Source organism: Homo sapiens, chromosome 22, assembly GCF_000001405.40.
Source record: "Homo sapiens chromosome 22, GRCh38.p14 Primary Assembly".
Lineage (NCBI taxonomy): Eukaryota > Metazoa > Chordata > Mammalia > Primates > Hominidae > Homo > Homo sapiens.
Genome location: NC_000022.11, coordinates 25,008,501 through 25,023,521, shown reverse-complemented (window position 1 = coordinate 25,023,521; position 15,021 = coordinate 25,008,501). Strand labels below are relative to the sequence as shown.

The 15,021-nt window shown below is 46.2% G+C and overlaps 1 protein-coding gene across 6 annotated transcripts in view; it reads right to left on the bottom strand.

Moving 5' to 3' along the window:
• The window catches only part of KIAA1671, a 244,733-nt gene that overhangs the window by 173,927 nt on the left and 55,785 nt on the right, over positions 1-15,021 (bottom strand). The window contains exons 1-2 of one of the 6 annotated variants that reach the window (XM_006724346.3): positions 8,956-9,092; positions 7,578-7,630 (exon numbers count right to left, since the gene is read on the bottom strand). The exons of 2 other annotated variants lie outside the window; for them this stretch is intronic. The gene's annotated coding sequence lies outside the window, so the exon portion shown is untranslated. Of the gene's footprint in view, positions 1-7,577; positions 7,631-8,955; positions 9,093-15,021 lie in introns of those variants that run through there. 3 more of the 6 variants (NM_001386933.1, NM_001386932.1, XM_047441556.1) reach the window with 3 other exon arrangements.

Sequence of the window (15,021 nt, the reverse complement as noted above, 5' to 3'; positions counted from 1 at the left end):
TTTAAATGTTATCACATATGTTACACTTGATTTAAGAGATGTTAGCCTCTTTGAAAACCTTTCTGAAGCCCACTCACGGAGAGGCTAGATGCTGTTTATTCTTGGGGTGGACATGTCCACTATTTTTTATTTATTTTATTTTTTATTTTTATATTTTTAGACAGTCTCACTTTGTAGCCCAGGCTGGAGTCCAGTGGCACAATCTCGGCTCACTGCAAACTCCACCTTCCAGGTTCAAGTGATTCTCGTGCCTTAACCTCCGTGAAGCTGGGATTACAGGCACCTACCACCACATCTGGCTGTTTATTTATTTAGAGACAGAGTCTCGGTGTGTCACGCAGGCTAGAGTGCAATGGCACTATCTCAGCTCATTGCAACCTCCGCCTCCCAGGTTCAAGTGATTCTCCTGCCACAGCCTCCCAAGTAGCTGGGACTACAGGCACCCAGCACCACACCCAGCTAATTTTTTTTTGTATTTTTAGTAGAGACGGGGTTTCACCGTGTTAGCCAGGATGGTCTGGATCTCCTGACTTCGTAATCCGTCCGCCTCGGCCTCCCAAAGTGCTGGGATTACAGGCGTGAGCCACCGCGCCCGGCCTCGGCCTCTTTTTTAAACAGTGTATTAGCTGACCATTATGACCAAAGCCAAGTCAACAAGACCTCCCCAGAGAAAGAAGGGAAACCAAGTCTGAGCCACCTCTAGTTTCATATGTATGTAAATTATCATGGAGGGCAGCACGGTGAACAGATGGAGAACAAAGGCATCCATCTGGGAAGGTCAGGAGGCTGTGGCAGGACCGTGAGAGAGGGGACATCAGGCTGACCCCAGGCAGTGGGCTAGCAATGAGTGTTTCTCTACTGTTGCTGAACTTGCCAAGTCCACAAGCTTGATCTCCCCAAGCTTAATTTGCAAAGTGCAAGATTCCCATTTTCTGCTATTTCATGCAGGAAAAAAAATCATTTGTCTGAGAAGGGGGTCACCCAAGAGCAACAGGTGCTGAAATTCAACAGGAGTCATTCGAAAGCATTCATTTGTCCACTCTTGTGACCCTACTTCTGCCAATGCTCACTGCCTCCCTCCCAAGCACCAGGTTCTGTACTTGGTGCTGGGGACACAGCCACTGAGCTTGAAGCCTCACAAGAGAGAAGGGAAGAAAAGCACTTCCATTCAAAACCAAACAGTTTGGCAGCTTTTCTCCCAGATTCAGAGGTGTTGATTCATTCTAACAGCTGTTTAAGATCTTTCATAATTACACCCTTAAATTCGATCTGAGAGCTTATCAGTCATTTATTCAGTCGTCTCTGGCTGCCACCTCCTGGGAATGCCACCATCTGGTGAGGGGCGTGGGCTGGTCCTGACACCTTCCAGCATCTTCCGGAATGTGACCTTAGTCCCCAAATCTGCAAATCCATCCTGTGCAGTGAGCCATGCAAAGAGCCAGGAACGGGGCCAGGCACGGTGGCTCAGGCCTGTAATCCCAGCACTTTGGGAGGCTGAGGCGAGCAGATCACGAGGTCAGGAGATCGAGACCACGGTGAAACCCCATCTCTACTAAAAATACAAAAAATTAGCTGGGCGTGGTGGCGGGTGCCTGTAGTCTCAGCTACTCGGGAGGCTGAGGCAGGAGAATGGCGTGAACCCGGGAGGTGGAGCTTGCAGGGAGCTGAGATCGCACCACTGCACTCCAGCCTGGGCAACAGAGCGAGACTCCATCCCAAAAAAAAAATGAAAAAGAGCCAGGAACGGATTGGCAAAGTGCACGCTGGTGTCCTCCCAGAGAAGGGCTGCTGTGCACAGGAGGTCTGTCCTCCAGAAAGGGCCCCAATCAAAATGTCAAGTATCACTGGAGTATGTGCATCCTCTCATCTGTATCCTCATGACTGTGGCCCTAGCTCCTTCCTTCCTTCCTTCCAATACACAATTATCAAGCATCTATGTACCAGGCTCTGGGCCAGGCGCTAGGGACACAGCAGTGAACAAAACAAATAGAAAACCCTGTTCCCATGGAATGGACATTCACAAAGATGAAAAAAAGGACAAAAAAAAAAAAAAAAGGTAAGGACAAGCTCCAGAATGTTACATAAGTGACAGAAAAAGAGAGAATGTGAGAAAGGTTAGCTAGGGAAGATTTCACTGAGAAGGGACATTTAAAATCAGCCTCTGGCCAGGCGCAATGTCTCATGCCTATAATCCCAGCACTTTGGGAGGCGGAGGTGGGAGGATCACTTGAGCCCAGGAGTTCAAGACCAGCCTGGGCAACATGGCAAAAACCCATCTCTACTAAAAAATACAAAAATTAGCCAGGTGTAGTGGTGCATGCCTATAGTCCCAGCTACTCAGGAGGCTGAGGATTGTCTGAGCCGGGGAGGCTGAGGTTGCAGTGAGCCAAGATCACATCACAGCCCTCCCGCCTGTATGACAAAGCCAGACCCTGTCTTAAAAATAAAATAAAATCAGCCTCCTCACTGACGATTCTGCCTCAGCTGTGGCCTCCTCCAATCCATTCACCTAGCAGTAGCCAGGGGTGTCTCCAACGTGCAAGCGCCAGGATGTCATTCCCCTGCTTAACGCCCCCGTGTCTCCCTGATGCTTTCTGAATAAAGGCCACACTTCTTCCCCGAGGCCCTACAGGATCCAGATCCTCTTCGTCTCCCCAGCTTCATTATAATGACTGACACCACCCCATCTGTCTGTCACAGACACTCACGTACTTCAGCACAATGAACCCCAGACAGGCCACAAAACACAGTGTACGCTTTCTCGCCTTCATGCCTCTGCACTGCCCTTAGCTCACTGCCTAGCTAATCTCAATGCCACCTCCTCCAGGAGGCCTTCTCTAATGCTCCATGAGTGGGGCTTGTTCAGGTGCTCCTCTGTGCTGCAATATCTCACTTCCTGCTTCCCCTTCACCCAGCACTGAGGAATACCTGGTGACTACCTCTGTTTCCTCCACTAGACTGTGAGCTCCTAGCAAGAAGGGTCCTGGGTCCTGTTCATGGCTATATCTGGAGTCTGAACCATAAGGGGCATAAAGTCGGTGTGCAAAAAACACCTGAAGAGAAGAAAATAATATTCAATGTAGACGTGAGTGTGGGAAAATGGATTTCCTTACCTGGTCCTAGCGACAATGTAAATTGTAAAAGCAATTCGGCAATATTCACTTTCAACAACATTTTTGAGACCCACATCAAGAGTTAGGCACCATGCTAAATGACTGTGCATCTTGTGCCTTCTCTCATTCATCTTCTCAACAACTTGTGCTGTTCAAATGATTAATTACCACCATTCTAACAGATGAGAAAAAAAATATGGTCCAGAAACAGCCAGTTCAAGTTCCCACTGCTAGTGAGGGGTAGAGGTGGGGTTGGAATCCAGGTCTTCTGACTCCAAATCAAATATTTTCCCCTCACCCCGGGCAAAACACTTACTTCTTTTCAACTCAGTAATCCCACTTTTAAAAATGTATCCTCTGGAAGTAATCCAAAAGAAAAGTTATATGCACAAAGATGTCCTTTGCAGTGTTATCTAACCAAACACAGCAAGAACATACCACAGGCAATAACACCTAGTTGAAACAACCCAGGACTTACAAGCATGGGAAATGTCACAAAAGCTGCAACCTGTCAGTAGGAAGAGCAGACCTCCAATTCCCAGCCTGCACAAAAATCCCATCACATCACAAGTCTTTAGTTTGGAATCAGAAAAAATGGTTGCCTTAACTATAATAGGGAAACTCTTAAAGAACATATCTCAGCCAAAGGTAAGGGGGTATGCACAGGAAAGTGGAAGCACTTAGGATAATTGGTAGGGGAAGCAGAAGGGATTTTTTTTTTTTTGTATTCAAGGTCATGACAATAGCAAAGGTTGTTTATACAAATGACAGAGGTCTGGAAGAGAACAGGGACAATGGAAAAAAAAAAACATGTTGGAGACCTGGGTTGGACTTGTTGATAAATTTTTAAATTCCTTTTATGTCCATGAATGTTGTTTGTGCAATTTTTTTTTTACATCTCAATACCAGAGGTTTTCCTCTGAGCTGTCTTTCCATCATCAATTTGAAAGGTAGAGGTGCTAAGACTGTCTCCTGCCTGCTTTCAGAAGCAAAGCATAAAAATAACTATCGTTTATTAAGCTCACACCATGTGCCAGACACTACACTAAATGCTTTACAAGGATTATTTCATTTCATCCCTTTACCATCCCAAAGAGGCAGGTCCTATTACAACTTCCATTCTACAGATGAGTAAACTGAGGCTGGAGGAGTGCTGTGACTTGCCCATGGGTGGCTGGAATTGTGGATCCCACCCCTGCCTTCCTGTCAGATTTCTACCAAAATCCACATGGGCTTAACTAAAACAACTGCTTGTTACAGTGTTCAAATGTAAAAGGCACTTCCCACCCATGAGAGTGGCTATTACTTAATTAAAACACACACACACACACACACACACACACACACACACACACACAAAACAACTATTGGAGAGGATGTGAAGACACTGGAACCTTATACCTTGCTGGTGTTGTGAATATAAAATGGCACATCCACTGTGGAAATCAGTATGGCAGTTCCTCAAAAAATTAAACACAGAATCTTGAAATTCTACTCCTAAGAGTATACCCCCCTAAAATTGAAAGCAGATATTTGTACACCAATGTTTGAAGCAGTATTATTCATCATAACCAAAACGTGTAAACAATTAAATGTCCATCAATGGATGGATAAACAAAATATAATCTATCCTTATACAATGGAATGTTATTCAGCCTTCAAAAGGAAGGAAATTCTACAATATGCTACAATACGGATGACCCTTGAAGACATTTTGCTAAGTGAAATAAGCAGACATGTAAGGACAAATACTGTATGCATAATTTCATTTACATGAGGTGTTTAGAATAGGCAAATTCATAAAGACAGAAAGTACAATGGTGGTTGCCAGCGCTGGGGAATGGGGAGTTATTGTTTAATGGATACGGAGTTTCAAAATGAGAAGATGAAAAAGTTCTAGAGATGGATGGTGATGATGGTCACACAACAATGTGAATGTACTTAATACCACCAAACTGTATACTTAAAGATGGTTAAAATGGTAAATTTCAGGTGATGGACATTTTACTGCAATTAAAAAAAAAAAGCAAAAACCTACAAACAACTAAAAAACAAACATAACGGGAACCAAATGCTTAAGCTCTAATTACCACGTCGGGGGGCCCATGCCCTTCAGGCGAATCTCTATTAAAAGCCCTCATGGTCTACGCTGGGCTATGCCTGGACAGGGAATGCGGTGGGAACGTTCCTAATCACAGTGGTGACACACTCTAGTAGGGGAGGAGGAAAGGAAACACTGAAATTTGGGAGGTGCCCTGATGGGGGCAGACAGGGGGGTTATAGAAGCCCAAAGAAAGAGTGGTCAGGGGAGCTTTCCTAGAAGAGAAGGTATCGCAACTGAGACTGAGAGAAGCCAGCCAAGCAGAGGAGGAGGAGGAGGAGGAGGAGGTTGGTGTCAGCAGAGGAAACACATATGCAAAGGCCCAAAGGCATGAGATAAACATGGTTATTAGAGCGCAAGCACTATTCATTTACCCTCTGTGGGGGAAAGCAGGACTGTGGAGAAGTTCAACTTTCTAAAAATGGGAGGTGCCCTGATGGGGCACATGTAACACTTGTTACACCGAAGACACTTTTGTAAACTTGAGTCCAGGTTGCATGGGGGAGTAAGAAGCCCTGGCTTAGGAGCCAGAACAAGATGGTTTTAGTCAGGGTGATCCCACCTTCTGGTTTACCTGGGATAAGCCCATTTTACTCTCTAAGATGTCTAGGTTTGGGCAATAAATTATTCAATCATCCTACTTTTTAAAAAATTGGGGTAAAAATCACATAACATAAAATTTACTATTTCAACCATTTCAAGTTCACAATGCAGTGGCATTTAGTACATTTATATCATGCAACTGACGTAGGAGGTGGGATTAAACTCTGGAAGCAAGGCTCAGACACTAGACCAAATTGAGGACTAGCTAAAACAGGTCAGGGCAGAAGTAACTCCCTGTAAGACCTGCCCACCAGTGTGCCATGTCAGTCTACCATTGCCATGGCAACATCCAGAAGTTACCACCCCCTTTTTTTGTTTGTTTGAGATGGAGTCTTGCTCTGTCGCCCAGGCTGGAGTGCAGTGGCGCAATCTCGGCTCACTGCAGCCTCTGCCTTCTGGGTTTCAGCAATTCTCCTGCCTCAGCCTCCTGGGTAGCTGGGACTACAGGCGCCTGCCACCAGGCCCAGCTAACTTTTGTATTTTTAGTAGAGACGGGGTTTTGCCATGTTGGCCAGGCTGGTCTTGAACTCCTGACCTCAGGTGATCCACCCACCTCAGCCTCCCAAACTGCTGGGATTACAGGCATGAGCCACCGCGCCCAGCCATTACCACCCCTTTCTAGGGCAACAACCTGACAACCCAGAAGTTACCACCCTTTTCTATGAAGTTTTGCATAAACCACCCCCTTAATTTGCATATAATTAAAAGTGGGTATCAATATGACTGCAGAAGTGCCTCTGAGCTGCTACTCTGGGCACACCGCCTATAGGCCAATCCTGCTCTGCGAGGGGCAGCACCTCTGCTGCTGTATGCTGCTGCTTCAATAACAGTTGCTGTTTAACACCGCTGGCTCACTTGAATTCCTTCCTGGGTGAATCTAAGAACCCTCCCAGGTGAAGCCCCAATTCTGGGGCTGGCCTAAAGTGCATCACAACCATCACCCCTATGTAGTTGCAAAGCATTTTCATCACCCCCAAGGAAATCCCATACTCACTTAGCAGTCACTCCCCATTCCCCTCTTCCCCAGCCCGTGGCAACCACTAATCTTTCTGTCTGGATTTGTCATTTCTGGATATTTTGTAAAAATGGAATCCATGTCCTCCACCCTAGTTTTTGTCCCACCTCCTCTACGAACCTGCAGTGACGGCTTTGGGCCAGCCCCTCCCTGCCTTAGTCTGGGCCTCAGACACAAGAGGTTGAGCAGGTTTGCTAAATTTCCTGTCATTTTTAAGATTCCGTGATTCTGATTCGGCTCAACCCCAAGACTCATCGGTTCTGTGTTTTCCACTTCTCTCTGCAACTGACACATTCCCCGGAGGGAGAACAACTTTCTGGATTGTGAGATGTGTGTTCTTAGTCTCTTTTAAGGGAGCCCCTGTGATTCTTGGCTGGGCACGGTGGCTCACGCCTGTAATCCCAGCACTTTGGGAGGCCGAGGCGGGCGGATCACGAGGTCAGGAGATCGAGACCATCCTGGCCAATATGATGAAACCCCATCTGTACTAAAAATGCAAAAATTAGCCAGGCTTGGTGGCGCATGCCTGTAATCCCAGCTACTTGGGAGGCTGAGGCAGGAGAATCGCTTGAGCCCGGGAGGTGGTGGTTGCAGTGAGCCGAGATCACACCATTGCACTCCAGCCTGGGCAACAGAGCGAGACTCCGTCTGGGAAAAAAAAAAAGAAAAAAAAGAAGCCCCTGTGATTCCTTAAAAAGTCAGTGCTCAATAAAAAATAGTTGAGGGAGTTAAATCAAATTCTTACTTCGCAATGACAGCAGCAGCAGAGCTCATTTTCGTACGGAGTGTGTACTGTTTCTGTAAGAATTGACATAATTAGCAAAGTCTTGACTCCTGTGTAAATTCCATCAGAGTGCGGTACATCTGGTGTTTCTGACTCTGGGATCCAGGGGAACAGCTTGAGATGGCCTTCCCCAAACTTCCCCTGGACCATGGGATGTAGGGTAGGACACACCCATTACCCACAGAAGCATTCTGTGGTATATTAAAAGACTGTGAGAAATGCTGGGTTCAACAATGGGAATAAACAGGTGTCTTTCCAGCAGGACTTTTCAGAACCTTTAATATGCTGATTTGCCTTTTAGGCCCTCTAAAGCATAATCCAAACTGCCTCACCCCAGGCCGCTTGTCCAAGTGCAGCTGCTGATCTGGAGAAACAATGTTACAACTTATCTTTACCCCTCTGCTTAACCTCCGCCTTTTCAACTTTCATTGGCTTGTTCCTTCCTACAATTTATGCTATTTTTGGACTGGCTGACCACTCACTGAAACCATTAATTAAGCTGCTGTTTCCCCCCGTGTTTTTCTCTGGATCCAAAATTGGCAAACTAGAGTCCACAGGCCAAACTAGCCCACTGCCTGGTTTTGCAAATAAAGTTTTATTGGAACACACCCACAGCCATTTATTTACATATTATCTATGGTTGCTGCTGCTGCTGCCTTTTTTTTTTTTTTTTTTTTTAAGGGACAAGGTCTTGCTGTGTGTCCCAGGCATGATCTCAGCTCACTGCAGTCTCAATCTCCTGGGCTCAAGCAGTCTTCCCACCTCAGCCTCCTAACTAGTTGGGACTACAGGCATGCACCACCATGACCTGCTAATTTTTTAAATTTTTTGTAGAAAAGGGCTTTCGCCATGTTGCCCAGACTATCTATGGCTTCCTTCAAGAGCCTTTATCCATGACTCTGCCTTAGTGACAGAGTTGAGTAGTTGTTACAGAGGCCATATCGCCCAGAAAACCTAAAATACATACTATAGCTCTTTACAGACAAAATTTGCTGACCCCTGCTTTAGATTGAGGAGATCTTAGCCTCCTGAGAGACTGGACTTCCCCCAAGGGTGTGATGTCCTCTTTCAAATACCCAAAGCTCTTACAGTATTCTGGCTGAGCCTCACCCCTCCACTAGACTTCTTTAGGCGTTCCACATGATAACGACAGAAAAATTCAATACACACAAACAAAAGTGTTTTTAATAATCGTAAATCCAGCCAGGTGTGGTGGCTCACACCTGTGATCCCAATGCTTTGGGAGGCTAAGGCAGGAGGATAGCTTGAGGCCAGGAGTTAGAAACCAGCCTGGTCAACATAGCAAGATTCGTTATGAAAGAAAGATAAAATAACTTACTGGGTATGGTGGTGTATGCTTGTAGTTCCAGCACTTTGGGAGGCTGAGGTGAATTGCTTGAGCCCATGAATTTGAGGCTGCAGTGAGCTATGACTGCACCATGGCACGCCAGCCTGGGTGACAGAGTAAGACCCTGTCTCAAAAAAAAACAAAAAAAAATTCCTAAATCCCACTATTCTGATGTACAACAACGTTGACATTTCCAACAAAAACAGGAACTCATGGTCAAAATTAAAATGGAATCAGATCATGCATCCTATTTAGAAATTTGTTTTTTGTTGTTATTGTTTCATTTCAAACTATGTCATGACCATCTTTCAGGACAATAGCTATACACCCTATACAGCAGTTTCTACAGCTTTCATCGTATTCCATTATATAAATATTAGATAACCCATCCCCCACTACTGGATCTTTAATGGTCAACCTGTCAATTAGTGAACCTTAAAACCAACATTGCAATGAACATCCACATACAATTATTTTCCCAAGTGAAATTTTGCCTAGAAGTGGGCTATTTGGTTCCAAGGGTGCACGTTTCTTCTGGAGCTTTGGATATATGCAGAATCACACGTAAGGAAAACACCTCCCATGGTGACTCAATTCAAAGCTTTGGAGGTCAGGGTTCTTACTCCCTCCCCTGGGGCAGACCCAGTAAAGATGTCTAATGAGCAATAAACCAGGCCTTGCCCTCACTTGGAGTTTTACTGGCCCTGCTTTATGGCAGGATCATCATAAGCTTGACTAGAAGGTTTCCAAGGGCAACTGGAACAGTTGACAGAGACAAGTGAGTCTGGAACCAGCCCAGAGGCTGTGTGTGTCCAGCCTGGTGTAGGAAGAGGGGGCAGGAAGGAAGACCCAGCCCTGGAACTGGTGTTCACTGCAGAGGAAACTCAACCCCAAAGCTCAATTCAACATAAAACACAGCAGCACAATGCTTGACTCAGAAAAATCTAAGCATAACACGCTCTCTCCTTAGGGAGACTGAGATGTGCATATTGCATTGCAGGAAATATAAAGAAATAATTCCCTCCAAGTACAAATAGATTTCTGAAAGAATAAGCTTACACTGGCTGGCAAAGCTCCAAATCCTGGGAAGGTCTGTCTGATCACTCCCCAGCACTAAAATCATCAATAGCTCCCACTGTCCCTTGCCTTGGGCAAGGTATTCAAGCCTTCCCAAACACCCCCCAAAAAACAATCAACCTAGTCAATACAGCAGACCCTGACCACAGTCTCACAATCTCAAATAAATACAATGACTTGAGTGTCTTTTTCATGCTATTCCTTCTTCATAGACAGCCCTTTACCCCCAGCACAATGTCCATTTGCCTGATTCCCACCCATCCTTTTAGAGCCGTTTAAATAAGGCCTCTTCCAGGAAGCCTATGCTGATTTCCTGGGCCAAAATGACTTCCAACCCTCCAGGGCAATTGACTTGATTCAATGCCTTGCATAGGAGAAAAGCCTGAGACTCTCCCCCTAACACAATTTACATCACTCATCCAACCCCATCCCACTCTACCCAGAGGATACACCCCTCCACTCTCAGTTCCCCTTCCTAGAACCTAGTCAGTGCCTGGCACAGGATAGACTGAGTGGGGCAGGGCTGAGATCCTGAGAGGTGGGAGGTAGCCACCTGGGACACAAGACGACTTTAGGAGGCTCTGGTATCCAGGCACAGCACTAAAGCGCATGGTTTCCTTTCTAATCCTCATGGGAGCTTTCAGAAGTTGCTAGACAGTCTCTGCTGGGTGCCACTATGACTTTAACACCTACATCTCCATCATCTGCTCATCTCCCAATTTAACAGAGGAATACAGCCTCATGCTCAGACTATTAGCTGTTGTAGTAGCAGCTGATTGTTTTTATTGTATTTAATTTTTACTGTTATTTTTCTACTTAAAGCAAGCAACACTGGTTTTGTTTACAAAAGAGTTTTTGCAAGGTTCCTTTCAAAACAAACATATTTAACTTTTGAGAAGGGGAAAAGTGGCCGGGCATGGTGGCTTACACCTGTAATCTCAACACTTTGGGAGGCTCAGGCAGGTGGATTACCTGAGGTCAGGGGTTCGAGACCAGCCTGGCCAACATGGTAAAACCCTTTCTCTACTAAAAATACAAAAATTAGCTGGGCGTGGTGACGCATGCCTGTAGTCTCAGCTACTCGGGAGGGTGAAGCAGGAGAATCACTTGAACTGGGGAGGCAGAGGTTGCAGTGAGCCAAGATCATGCCATAGCACTCCAGCCTGGGTGACAGAGAGACTCCGTCTCCAGAAAAAAAAAAAAGAAGAAGAAAAGAAAAGGGAAAATTTAAAAATAAAACAACAGTACAAGGGTTACGTGGATACAGTAATAACTCTTGGGGTTTTTATGTGTTTAATCTGAACAGGGAAAATCACCAGTAAAGTGGAAAGAACATGATATTGGCGTCAACAGTGCAGATGCAAGCTCTCTGGCAGCTTCCCTCCTTAAAACTAGTAAGCCAGAGACTTGCTTTCTCAGCTTCCTTTGCAGCTAAAAGTGGCCATGTGACCCAATTCTGATTTAAAAAATATTTAAGAACTTAAGGGGAAATGGGAAAGACTTCTAGGGAGGCTTTTACTTTGCTAATAAAACAGTTAGACGTGAGCCAGGTGCAGTGGCCCACGCCTGTAATCCCAGCACTTTGGGAGGCCAAGGTGGTCAGATCACTTGAAGTCAGCAGTTCAAGAACAGCCTGGCCAACATGGTGAAACCCTGTCTCTACTAAAAATACAAAATTAGCCAGGCATGGTGGCAGACACCTGTAATCCCAGCTACTCAGGAGGCTGAGGCAGGAGAATTGCTTGAACCCAGGAGGCGGAGGTCGCAGTGATCCAAGATCGCACCACTGCACTCCAGCCTGGGCGACAGAGCAAAACTCCAACTCCAAAAAAAAAAAAAAAAAAAAGAAAAGAAAAGAAAGAAAGAAAAAGAAATAACAACAACAAACCAGGCAGGCCAGGCTCAGTGGCTCATGCCTATAATCCCAGCAATTTGGGAGGCTGAGGTGGGCGGATCACCTGAAGTCAGGGTTTCCAGACCAACCTGGTCAACGTGGTGAAACCCCATCTCTGCTAAAAATACAAAGATTAGGCCAGGCACGGTGGCTCACATGCCTGTAATCCCAGCACTTTGGGAGGCCAAGGTGGATGGATCACCTGTGGTCAGGAGTTCGAAACCAGCCTGGCCAACATAGTGAAACCCCATCTCTACAAAAAAACACAAAAATCAGGTGGGCGTGGTGGTGCTTGCCTGTAATCCCAGCTACTTGGGAGGTTGAGGCAGAAGAATCACTTGAACTCAGGAAGGAGGCGGACGTCTCAGTGAGCCGAGATCGTGCCACTGCACTCCCAGTCTAGGCGACAGAGTGAGACTTCGTCTCAAAAAAAAAAAAAAAGATTAGCAAGGCATGGTGGCAGGTGCCTATAATCCTAACTACTCAGGAGGCTGAGGCATGAGAATCACTTGAACCCAGGAGGTGAAGGCTGCAGTGGGCCAAGATCACGCCACTGCACTCCAGTCTGGGCAACAGAGTGAAACACTGTCTCAAAAAAAATCCAGGCAGATGCAGCTTGTGGTGCTGCCTCTCCTTCCTACCTGGATCAAGAATATGATGTCTGCAGTCATGGCAACCGTATTGGGACCAAGAAACCACAAGCCAATTTAAGGATAGTGACATGGAAAATAACTTGATATATAGTTAAGCCACTGCCCTAACTCTGAACTACTCTCCTCTTGATTTTTTATGTGAAAAATAATAAAATATACCCATTTAAGCCATTGTTGGTTTGGGTTTCTATTCCATGCAGGCAAAAATATTCTTAATGAACACGGAGCTTGGCACAAATGGATTCAGTGGACAAATGTCTTCTAAGTGCACACAGTGGCTGTGGTTCCTTTAACGGAGCCACTTCACCTCTCAAAGATCAGTTTCTTTACGAGTAAGGTCAATGATACTTACTTCAAATCTGAGGATTAAAAGAGATAGTGCATGTAAAACACCTACCAGCAGACTCCGCACATAGTAGGTCTCTACAAATGCACAATAAATGTGCAAATAGAGGCCAGGCGCGGTGGGTGATGCCTGTAATCCCAGCACTTTGGGAGGCTGAGGCGGGCAGATCACAAGGTCAGGAGTTCGAGACCAGCCTGGCCAACATAGCGAAACCCCCATCTCTACTAAAAATACAAAAAATTAGCTGGGCGTGGTGGCGGGCACCTGTAATCTCAGCTACTCGGGAGTCTGAGGCAGGAGAATCGCTTGAACCCAGGAGGCAGAAGTTGCAGTGAGCCGAGATCGCGCCATTGCACTCCAGCCTAAGCGACAGTGCAAGACTCTGTCTCAAAAAAAGAAAAAAAAAGTGCAAATATAATATAAAGACTCACAGATGTATTTGTGAGTTGATGGGATTGCAGGCGGGCAGGGAGAGGGGAACTGCCTAAATGTTTAAGATCCAAAGCAATAGCTCTCTAACAGAACAATCTGGGGAGGCAGTAATTCAAGGGAGTCTACCTTTATCCACTGTCGAATCATGTCCTGTTTCACAGGTGGAGAGAGTGGGATGAGGGACAAATGGGTAAGCAGATACTGTTCACAAGTCTGGCCTGTGTTCCACACCAGTCTGTCACTTGTCAGTTCTTGATTAAAAGTAGGGAAGGGGCCAGGCATGGTGGCTCACGCCTGTAATCCCAGCACTTTGGGAGGCCCCGAGGAGGGCGGATCACAAGGTCAGGAGATCGAGACCATCCTGGCTAACACAGTGAAACCTCGTCTCTACTAAAAATACAAAAAATTTAGCTGGGCGTGGTGGCATGCGCCTGTAGTCCCAGCTACCCAGGAGGCTGAGGCAGGAAAATCACTTGAATCCGGGAGGCAGAGGTTGCAGTAAGCCAAGATCGCACCACTGCACTCCAGCCTGGGCGACAATGTGAGACTCTGTCTCAAGAAAAAAAAAAAGAAAAAAAAAGTGGGGAAGGGGGCTGGGTGCAGTGGCTTATGCCTGTAATCCTAGCACTTTGGGAGGATGAGGCAGGAAGATCACCTGAGGTCAGGAGTTCGAGACCAGCCTGGCCAACATAGCGAAACCCCATCTCTTCTAAAAATACAAAAATTAGCTGGGTGTGGTGACAGGCACCTGTAATCCCAGCTACTTGGGAGGCTGAGGCGGGAGAATCACTTGAACCTGGGAGGCAGAGGTTGCAGTGAGCCAAGATTGCTCCACTGCACTCCAGCCTGGGTGACAGAGCAAGACTCTGTCTTAAAAAAAAAAAAAAAAAAAAAAAAAAAAAGTGGGGAAGGGAGAGTGCCAAGAAATATAAACACCAAACAACATCCCCTTAAGCCAGGAGGCAAGAAAAGCCTAAAAGGGTGGTTGAGACTGAACCCATGTCTTGGTATTGTGAAGTCTCGGGTCCATCTCTGTCCACAGCACTGCACTCTCCCCTCCACTCCACATTCCCGTTTCCATGCCATCTATACCAATAAACCCAAAGTGACAAAATGACAGCTGACAGGTCCTCTCCTGGTTTTCCCAGGAGTATCTCTGTGCCTCCCATGCCCTTCAGGCAACCACTGGCTCCTCCTCCTCCCACACCTAAGTCGAAGGCTCCATGAATGCATCAGGGCCTGGCACTGCCAGCCTCAGGGCATGACAACAGACCTATTTCTGGGCCTCTGTGTAGCTGAAGAGACACACTTGGCCTAACCACAAAAAGGGAATTCAGTGAACCATTGCAAGTTTATTGGGCTCCACTGTCCTTAGATCTGTAAGTGCTGGGCCCTGGGAAAGTCTGGTTATTAGTCATTATCATCCTCAAATCATTAACAATGATTTTGTGCCAGACAGCACGTTAAATGAATCTCCCCATTCAACCCACCCTCTGAGGTTGGGTTTCATGATGAGGCCCATTTCATGGATGAGGACAACAAGGGAGGTTTGGCAACTGGCCCATGTGGTGGAGCCAGGATTTGAAATCAGGTGGCCTCAATCTAAATCCCACTTTATATATCCTCGAAGCATCAATAGTGGCTGTGTTATTAAG